This window comes from Homo sapiens, chromosome 3 (genome assembly GCF_000001405.40).
Source record: "Homo sapiens chromosome 3, GRCh38.p14 Primary Assembly".
NCBI classification, from domain to species: Eukaryota; Metazoa; Chordata; class Mammalia; order Primates; family Hominidae; genus Homo; species Homo sapiens.
In genome coordinates this window covers 16,649,599-16,660,028 of record NC_000003.12, presented here as the reverse complement: position 1 = coordinate 16,660,028, position 10,430 = coordinate 16,649,599, and the positions used below count along the sequence as shown (strand labels likewise).

At 40.2% G+C, this 10,430-nt stretch overlaps 2 annotated features.

The window, feature by feature from the left end:
- Nucleotides 273–567: a silencer, noted in NCBI's record as "tiled region #448; HepG2 Repressive non-DNase unmatched - State 23:Low". NCBI's record gives its function as "represses a minimal TATA promoter and a strong SV40 promoter by Sharpr-MPRA in HepG2 cells {active_cell/tissue: HepG2}" and the evidence as "EXISTENCE:reporter gene assay evidence [ECO:0000049][PMID:27701403]".
- Nucleotides 1,287–2,092: an enhancer, noted in NCBI's record as "OCT4-NANOG hESC enhancer chr3:16699444-16700249 (GRCh37/hg19 assembly coordinates)". NCBI's record gives its function as "activates a minimal SCP1, AML or CMV promoter by ChIP-STARR-seq in naive H9 embryonic stem cells {active_cell/tissue: H9 hESC(naive)}" and the evidence as "EXISTENCE:reporter gene assay evidence [ECO:0000049][PMID:30033119]".

Here is a 10,430-nt window from a genome sequence, read left to right as displayed (position 1 = left end):
ATGGGTTAAAATAAGGGGTTGTGGAGACCAACGTTCTGACTATGTAGAATAGATGATAAATGTCTCTTATCAGGACTTAACAGGTGCTGCACTCTTAGTTAAATCTCTCCTGGATCAAGAAAAGACCTGGAAAAGGGGGGATTCTCTGCAGAATGTAGTTTTTCCCCATAAGAGACAGCTTTGCAGGGTCATTTTTTAAAATATGTCAAAGGAATATATTTTGGGGTAAAATACTTTGATTTCTTTCCGTCTCTGCTTTTTGTCATGTGATGCTGTGCTAGAATCAGTTTGGAATCTGGTCTCTTATTTCTACAAAGAGTCTGTTTTGTCAGTCTTAAGATCTCTGTTTTAAATGTGAATGCTGGTTAGTTGTGCCTGAATTCCAAAGGAATTAGAGGAGGGAGGAAGGTATAATGAGGCATGTCCATGCCCCCTTTCCTACCATGGCCTGAACTAGTTTTTCAGGTTTACTTTGGAATGTCCTTGGCCAAAAGGAGGGTCTATTCAGTTAGTTGGGCAGCTTAGTATGGTTTTGTTTTGGTTTACACTTTTGTCCAATCACATTTCTATATGGCTGTCCATTCGTCATCAAATCTAACCATAAAAACAGACAGTTTTCCTTGGTCTTTGAGTCTTCATTTCTGAAGTCTCTTATGTCACATAAAACTTTGACTAAATAAATCTGTTATGCTTTTCTCTTGTTAACCTGTCTTTTGTTATGGGAGTGTCTGCCATAACCCCTATGATCAGTGAGTGGAGGTATAACACCTTTTTACCCTATAATAATAGTAGCTAACATTTCTGAGCACTTCTCATGTGCCAGACCCCCAGCCTAACATATATGCACTGCCACATTCACTACCACAGCCATCCCATAAGACAGAGATGGCTGGTGCTCCCATCTATAGGGGAGAAAAGAGGGCTCAGAGAGATTATGCAATCTGCCCAAGTTCACAGAGCTAGGAAGTATCAGGCCTAGGGTTAGACCGCAGGCTTTGTTTGCTTCCAGAATCTATGCTGTTAACCACACAGCAGTTGGAGTTAAAGTGGCTGTATATGTAAAATATTTGACTTAAAAAATAAGGAGTATTGGGGGCAGACAGAGCAAAAGGAGGAAATTCGTGGATCAACAGGACCTAGTCCTCAGCAGAAATCTTCCCTTAATTCCTCTGGAGAATGGAAGCCTCGAGCTACAGGGAAGCGAAAGCATGAAATGTCCAGGAAGCCTCATTCAAGAACTTCACAGGGTGGGGGTGGGAAGCTTTGTGTCTCACCTCAACACTTTCCTTTCTTCAAATTCATGTCATCTTTCCTGAACGCATATCATTCAGTCCCAACATTATCCTTTCTCCCTGCTTCAAAAACCATCATCTGCCCTGTGGATAATTTTTATTGACACCCTATTCTCTTTGAGACTCTTGACTTATAGTAATGCATATTAAGAATTTATAAACTTGCTTTCAAAGACACCACAGGAACATTGTACAATTTTTTACACATTGCTTTGTCCCACTGGAAGAAAAAAATTAAGTGTACAATGGAATATAGTGAGTTAAAGGAAAGGTCTTAAGTGATAACAATTGATTTTCTGTGAAGTCTTTTCTTAGAATGCCTTTTAGAGAACAGCAGGGGTCCTCCCACTTTCCAAGGGTTCTCAGAACCATTCTTTTCTCTTATCTTGCAAGTGGAGGTGTCAAGTCACATGGGAGAGCTGTGGGGCTCAGCCCCAACCTTCATGATCTATTCCCAGAGGACAGCAGACTGCTCTCTAAAAGTTGCCTGAAACCAGTTCTAATGGCATACACCAGCAGCATTTAGTCAGACAATGCGGACATAATTACTGCCTTCATTCAATCGGTAGCTGGGGGAAAAACCACCAATCAAAAGCCTTGTAGTGTAGCTTCTTTATTAGGACAGGTTTCAGAGCTGCCTGCTGTAGCAGGGAAGCCCCCTGGAGGATACAGCGTGTGCCAGTAACGATTTCTGGATCCTCTCCTTAACAATTCAAAAGACACTGGGGAGAAATGTGACAAACAACTTTCTACCTAAGAAAAGCCATTTGTTTTCAAAAATTTAAAGCTGAAGAGACAATACTTTAGCATTTTCCAATGGACCCTTGAACTCCTAACAGGGATTAGGCGAGCCAAACTCCCACACACTTGAAAATTTGTTTATCACATTGTTCTCCCCCAAAACCTTACTAAGAGCCTACTGTGGACCGGAAGCCTTATTGGTAACATACACAGTAATGAACACATTTTTAATGTTATATGTATCATGTACTGTATCCTTATATTAATAATGAAGTAAATGAGAGAAAATAAAAATGTTAGCTAAAAAATCATAAGAAAAATATATTTAAATACTATTCATTAAGTGGAAGTCAACAATATTTATTCTGGTCATCTTCACATTGAGTAGGCTAAGGAGAGAAGGAAGAGGAGGGGTTGGTCTTGCTGTCTCAGTGGTGGCAGAAATGAAAAGATGGAGGTGGTGGAAGGGGAGGCGGGAGAGGCAGGCACACTTGGTATGGCTTCATGGAAGCATATTGTAATTTCTGTTTGACTTTTTTGCTTTTTAATTTCTCTAAAAATATTTCTATACAGTACCAATCCTTTTACTGTTTGCTTTAGTTTCAGTGCCCATACCATAGAAGGGGTTATGTCATAAAAGAAGTAGAAAGCAGCCTTTAATATTTGGAACCCTTCTGCCACATTGTCTAATGTCAATTTGTTTTCTGGCTGATATGGTTTAGATGTGTGTCCCCTCCAAATCTCAGGTTGAATTGTAATCTCCAATGTTGAAGGTAAGGCCTGGTGAGAGGTATTTGGGTCATGGGGCAGATCCCTCGTGGCTTGGCACTGTCTTTGTGATAGTGAGTGAGTTCTCACAAGATCTGGTCATTTCAAAGCATATGGCACTTCCCCTCCCAGCTCTTTCTCTCACTTGCTCCTGCTTTCACCATGTGACATGCCTGTTCCCTTTTCACCTTCTGCCATGATTGTAAGATTCCTGAGGCCTCCCTACAAGCTGAGCAGATCCCAGCACCATGCTTCCTGTACAGCCTGCAGAACCATGACCAATTAAACCTCTTTTCTTTATAAATTAACCAGTCTCAGGTATTTCTTTATAGCAATGCAAGAATGGCCTAACACAGAAAATTGATACTGAGAGTGGGGTATTGCTATAAAGATGCTGGAAAATGTGGAAGTGGCTTTGGAACTGGTTAATGGTCAGAGCTTGGAAGAGTTTGGAGGTCTCAGAAGAAGACAGAGGGTGAGGGAAAGTTTGGAACTTTTTAGAGAGTGGTTAAATGGTTATAAACAAAATGCTCAACTTTCCAGGCTCAAGCCATCTTCCCATCTCAGCCTCTCAAATAGCTGGGACTACAGGCATACACCACCATGCCTGGGTAATTTTTTGTATTTTTTTTTATAGAGACAAGGTCTCACTGTGTTGCCAGGGCTGGTCGCAAACTCCTGGGCTCAAGCAATCCTCCTCCCTCAGTCTCCCAAAGTGCTGGGATTACAGGCATGAGCCATTGCACCCATAGGCCCCACCTCTTCACACGGTAGCATTTGGGATTAAATTTCAACATGAATTTGGAGGAGACACAAACATTCAACCATAGTGTCTCTGAAGACACAAGGATACAGAGACAAATCTAAACAAACAGGCCTTGCTAAAATCCCCGCAGTTTATTATCATTAGAGCGTACTCTTGTCCTCCAATCACATTTCTCAGCAACTGCCCACTCTTCATCAAATCTAAGCACAAAAATATACAAGTTTACCTGTTTCTTGGGATCTTAATTTCCTTATACAAGCTCCTGTGTCAGGTAGAACTTCAATTAAATAAATGTGTGTGCTTTTCTCTTGTTAATCTGCCTTTTGTTATAGGGACCTTAGCCATGAATGTAGTGATAGGTGAGAAAAAGGTATTTATTTTCCCCTAAACACGCTACCAGCCTGGTCCAAGATATCCCCTGCCCACTCAGGATCCAGAAGACTCTTTTTAAAGCCATAATTTAGATCAGCCTGTCTTACTTTAAAAACCTCTGATAACTCCCTATTTCACGCTGACTAAAAATCAAAGCCCTATAAAACTAAATATAATCTGCCCCTCTTCCCCTGTTACCTCCCAGATCTCATTTCCACACTCATCCCCTCACTCACTCTGCTCAGCCACATTGGCTCTTTGCTGTTCCTTGGCTATGCCAGGCACACCCTTGCTTAAGGTCCTGTGCCCTTGTGGACACTCTTCCTCTGGGTAACCACATCACTCCCTCCCTCCCCTCCTTCAAAACCTGCTCAAAGCCCCTTTGCTAAGACTGCCTTCTCTGATCAATTTATTTAATCCTACCCTCTCTCTCCAGTCCATTTCTCACTCCACATTCTTGGTCCTTCCTATCTTGATCTACTTCTTTCCCATAGCCCTGGAACACTCTTCCTTCAGATATTTCACTCCCTCACTTGGCACATGGTACATGGGAGACAGTCAATAAATATAATGAATGAATGAAATTTCATTCTGCAAAATGAAATGTACAAGTTTACAAAATGAAGCAAAATTTTCAACAGCTTAAAAATATTTATTGAGCATTCCTTCCCACACAATCCACAGATAAGTTATGGGCAATTTTATACAGTATTTGTGGCTTCATTGTGGCAAAATGCAGGACTAGTTCTATACAAATTTATGAAATTGATAAAATTCCTCTTCTTTACCTTCCCATTTGGTCTTTCAACACTGTGCCCCCCACTTTTATTTTCTATTCTGTGTTTCTCCAACTCCAATTTAGTCCAGTTATCATGAACACAACAGAATGGTGATGAACATGTGCTTTATCTTTACTGTCCAGTATCATAGCCACCAGCCACATGTGGTTATTGAGCACTCAAAATGTGCCTAGCACAACTGAGAAGTTGAATTTTTAATTTTATTTAATTTTAATTCGTTTACATTTAAATAGGTACATGTGGCTGGTGGCTGGCATATTACAAATTACAGCTCCATCCTTACATAACATTTATAAGCTCTTTGAAGAAAAACATGTCTTTTTACCAACGTGTCCCTACAAATATCCCATTCATCGTTATATGGATTAACAAAAAACCAGTTGATATTCTCTCTTATTTAGGAGTTGGGAAAGTAGTATAGAAAGAAAATACTGAGAATCAAATTTTAGATCAAATACAAAGTTTTAAATTAAGCCCAAGGTGGCTAGTGTTGGGAGAAGGGAAACTGGAATGAAGGACACAGATTTCCTCTTCTTTCTTCCTTCACTTCCAAGAATAGAGATGATAATAACATCCCTCCGTGAGCACTGTGCCAGGCACCATGCAAGCATTTTTATCAATAATCTCATCAAATTATCCCAATAACTGTGAAACCCATTGAACCATTATCACCTGCATTATACAGATGAAGAAACTGAGCTTCTGAGAGCATGATTTCCCCACACAGCTGACCTGAGATGCTAACAGTTTATGCGATCCCAGCGTCTAAGCATTGTGCTGAGCCCCCTCTCTCCCTCCTCTCCCAGGGCTGAGAATCTATCTTTAAAATAAATCAAAGTAAATAGAGAGCATCTCTAACACCTCTACTGCATTTTCACAAAAGACTAGGTGATTTAAAATCAGGAATTAAAGCTGACTTACAAGGCACTTATTAAATTTAGCTTACTTTTTGAAAAGTAAGAGCAAGGAAATCAAAAGAGAGTAGACCACTGGGCTCTGGTTTTGCAATGTGAACAGTTCTGCCCACTTGCTTTTCTCTCCCCATTATGATTCCATGAGGGGGTACAGATCTTATCCAAGTCCTCATTTTCATTCATCTCTTTGTAAAAATGTGAAAACAATAATTCACCCATAGTTAATAGCAATGAAGAATGTCCCCCCTTAAGCATTCTCACCCCTCCTATGGGTTTTACTTTTCCACCCAGCAGGGGAGCCCCAGCACTTTATAATTACACATTAATGAAGAACAGAACCCTTCCTCATTTTATTTTGCATTTCATTTTCAGAATAATTTGATGTGTGTGTGTGTGTGGAGAAGGGAGGGTGTGAGGAAATGTAAACAGTGCTCATTTATCACAGCTTTAATCGAGACCAGATCTCCCCCTAATCCAATTCGGAGTTGCACAGTTTATACCAGTGAACAGTAAACATTAATAAAGATCAGCTGCAGGAAGGCGAGGGACAGCATTGCTGCTGGGTATGCCCGCCAGTGCAGAAACAAACAAAAAAACCAATATGTTCATAACTCACCACTTAATTTTGACCAATATATAGAAATCATGATAAAATTTTAGTTCTAAACCGTGTAGTTCTATGAGGCACAATCTTCCAACAATGTAGCTAACCACCTTCCTTCAGACTTATACCTATGGCCATATCCTTGACCTTGTTACCACCAAAACTAATACCAAACCCTGTAGAGCCTTGAGGTTTGGTATCTGAATATCCAGCTTATTTCCTCTAATATTTTATATTACTGAGTGAGCATTCCTAATCTGAAAACCAAACTCCGAAAATGCTACAAAATCCAAAACTTTTGAGCATCAACATGATGCCACAAGTGGAAAATTTCACACGTGACCTCATGTGATGGGTCACAGTCAAAACTTTATTTCATGTACAAAATTATTTAAAATGTTGTATAAAATTACCTTCTGGCTATGTTTATAAGGTGAATATAAAACTATAGTGAATTTTTGTGTTTAGACTTGAATCCCATTCCCAAGATATCTTATTATGTATATGTTAATAGTCCAAAATCCAAAATAAGCCCAAATCCAAAACACTTCTGATCTCAAGCATTTCAGAAAAGGGATCCTCAACCTGCAGTGTTTTCTTGCTGTCATAGCAAATCACTACAAACTTAATGGCTTAAACGACACAAATTTTTCTTACAGTCTGTAGATCAGAAGTCTGACATGGGACTCACAGAGCTAAAACCAAGATGTTGGCAGGGCCGTGTTTTTTTCTGTAGGATCTGGGTAGCATCCTTTTCCTTGTCTTTTCCAGCCTGGAAAGGCCACCTGTGTTCCTCGATTCATAGCTCCTTTCCTCCAGCTTCAAAGCCAGCAATGGAACGTTGGGTCCTTCATCGTGTCACTCTGACCTTCTTCTGTAGTCACATCTGCCTCCAACTGTCTTCTACCATTCCATTTTTAAGGACCCTGTGATTATGTTGAGTCCACTCTGATGAACTTCCTTTCTTAAGGTCTCTTAATTTCATCTGCAATCTTAATTCCCCTTTGCTGCATAACCTAGCAAACATATTTAAAGATTCTGAGGACTAGTGCATGGACATCTTTGAGGGGCAATTATTCGCCCTACATGTTCCAACTCCAGTAATACTTCTTAAAATTCTCAGGACTTAAAATTCATTGTTCCCGCAACTTGAACTCTCCATTGCCTTTCTTCATATCTTCATTTCCCTCCTTACCTAGCCTGAATTCCATGGTCAATTATTATAATCTTGTCTTCCATAAACCCTTAACTCCTTTGTCCCCCCACTCCTGCTTCATTGTTTTTACTTGGCAAAACAGCTGACTCTCTGCTTACTCCAAACCTGCATCCATGCAGCTAGAAATATTACCAGAGCAAATCCACCATCACATAGGACTGCAATGCTGCCTACCTGATGTATAGCATTTCCCTAGTTCATTCATTCTCCCATTCTCTTACATGACAGTTTCATACTTTCTGTATCCTCAAACTTCCAGCACCACCTATCCATCCACACTTGCAGCCAATGACCAATTTCACTGAGAAAATAGAAGCAATCTGAAGAGAATCTTCTACAAATTATCTCTATCACATTTATCTACTCGTAAGCGTGTGTTCCCATGTATACTGCCTTTTCTTCTGATACCCTATGACCTGTCTCTGTCCAAGGCCAGTCCCTCCTCTCTGTCTAAATTCCAGACCCTCTACTGGATAATTCCCATTAGCACTAAAACATGCATTATTTCCCTTTTCCTAAAAGCAAACAAGCAAATCCTTCTGTTGACTCCATTGATCTTTCCAGCTAACATTTCATTATTCTCCTAGCCTTTAGAGTGAAAAACTCCTCAAAGGAGTTACCTATATTTGCTGTCTTCTACTTCTGTCTTTCAATTCTCTCTTAATCTTTTGAAGTCAGGCTTCTGATCCCACCATGCAACCCAGACTGCTCTTATTAAGTCACTAATAACTGCTATGTGGGTAAATCCAATAGTCAATTTTTAGTCCCAGTCTTACTTTGCACATTGATTGCTCCATCATCCTTCAAATATTTTCTTCACTTGATTCTCAACACCCTCTTGCCTCTCTTCCTACCTCACTGGCTACTTCTCAGTCTCCCTTTGATGGTTCCTCCTGGACTGAAGAACCAGATTGATCCTCAGTCCTCATGTCATCTCTATCTATACACTCTTTGTGAGATCATCCATTTTTGTGGCTTTACATACATCTACATGTTGATGATACTCACATGTCTTTATGCCAACCTAACAGTTCCCCTAACCCCATACTTGTATCCAGTTGCTTACGTAATGGAGGAAAAACTTTCCCTTTACCCTCTGAGGGTTCAATAATTGAGTCTATAAAATAAAATAACAGTAGACAAATTTACAGGAGAAAACGTATACAAATTTCTTATGCACATGGAGACATAATATGAAGGAAAAATGAATACCCCCAAACCCAGTGAGATCTAGAAGCTTATATGCCCTCTTCATAGAAGACATGAGGGTGGGTGGGGATGCAGGGAGAGTAAATGATTTGGAGGTAAGGTGAATGGGTCCTCAGAAGAATAAACATTTGTCTGGGCATGGAGAATTCTTTCCTATGATCCAGTTCAACCTTCCCTAGTTAATAAGATTCCTGGGGAGGGGATTCATGACGGCTGAGTCCTTTTGAAGGATTCATCTTTAGGCAGATAAGGAGAGCTCAGAGAAAGCTTCTGTCTGTATATGAATTTCCTGAAGTAATCAGCATACCGAAGTGGCATATTTTGGCACATTCTGAACTCCTTTATTTCCCCTGTCTAAAACTTCTCCAGAAGTTTCATACACTAAAACATGAGTTCGTATAGAGAGGAAAACAAGGTTAGTAGCTGAGTGGTAAGAGACATAGGAATAGGTCAATCCAGTTAAAGAGTTGTGTCTTGGCCGGGCGCGGTGGCTCACGCCTGTAATCCCAGCACTTTGGGAGGCTGAGGCGGGTGGATGACAAGGTCAGGAGATCGAGACTATCCTGGCTAACACGGTGAAACCCCGTCTCTACTGAAAATACAAAAAAAAAAAAAATTAGCTGGACGTGGTGGTGGGCGCCTGTAGTCCCAGCTACTCGGGAGGCTGAGGCAGGAGAATGGAGTGAACCTGGGAGGTGGAGCTTGCAGTGAGCCGAGATCTCGCCACTGCTGCACTCCAGCCTGGGCGACAGAGCAAGACTCCGTCTCAAAAAAAAAAAAAAAAAAAAAACAAAGAGTTGTGTCTCATTTCAAGAAGTGGTGTTGCAGATGGGTTCCCATCAAAATTAGGCCTCTTTATGGTGCAAGCAATCAGGGATTTAATGAGATGCATTTCTATGGAAACAAAAGAAAAACAAAGCTTGTTGTCTGGAGTTAGTAAACTAGTTTTGTAAACTAGTTTCAGAGTCTGGAGGGTATCCAGTTGTGACTATTTCTAGATATTGGGCTTGAAGCATCTTTAGTTGGAGTGCAGGCAGGCAGTGGCAATCTGACAGATTTTCCCGGTTTGCAGTTTGCATTAGAGGTTCCAGTGAACCTTAGGAGTAGTCCATACTTCAATAGGCACAAATGTTGTCCATACATAAGTTGTCGTGGTGAGTTCTCTGAAGTTTATATCAAGACATCTAGCTTTAGCTTGCAGAGCTTTGGGAAAAGGGCAGTTTTAATTTCATAATTTCCAAGTCAGACAGATGGAAGAAAAATTGAAAACATTAGTTTGGAAAGTTGAAGCCAGATATTGGAGGAAACTAGAGGAATTCAGGATCCAGTCCAGTTTGTATGTAAATAACAAACCCTCAAAAACAATAAGCTGGAATCTAATAACAGGTGTACTATAGTTTCCTTCTGTAACATAATTTTTTCTCTCCATAGTCACCTCCCATTTTTACCAAAGGCAATCACAGTAAGATTGCAAATAAGTTTAGTATCATCAAACTTGGCCTGATTATTTACATAAATGCAGCAAGAATAATGACTGACCATACAGGCTCTTTTAAAATCTGTTTTGCTTAAAGGAAGTCTTATATTAGACTTTTAAAAAGCTTCTCTAGGCTAGGAAGCCAAGCCAATGACCTACTACAAGATTTTGCCTATAATACCTTCAGATTTGGATTAGTTTTTCTCTTCTTGAAGTTCCCAAAATATTTTTAAGCTCCTGAACCTGCCAGGAGTTGACATTCTTTACTCAT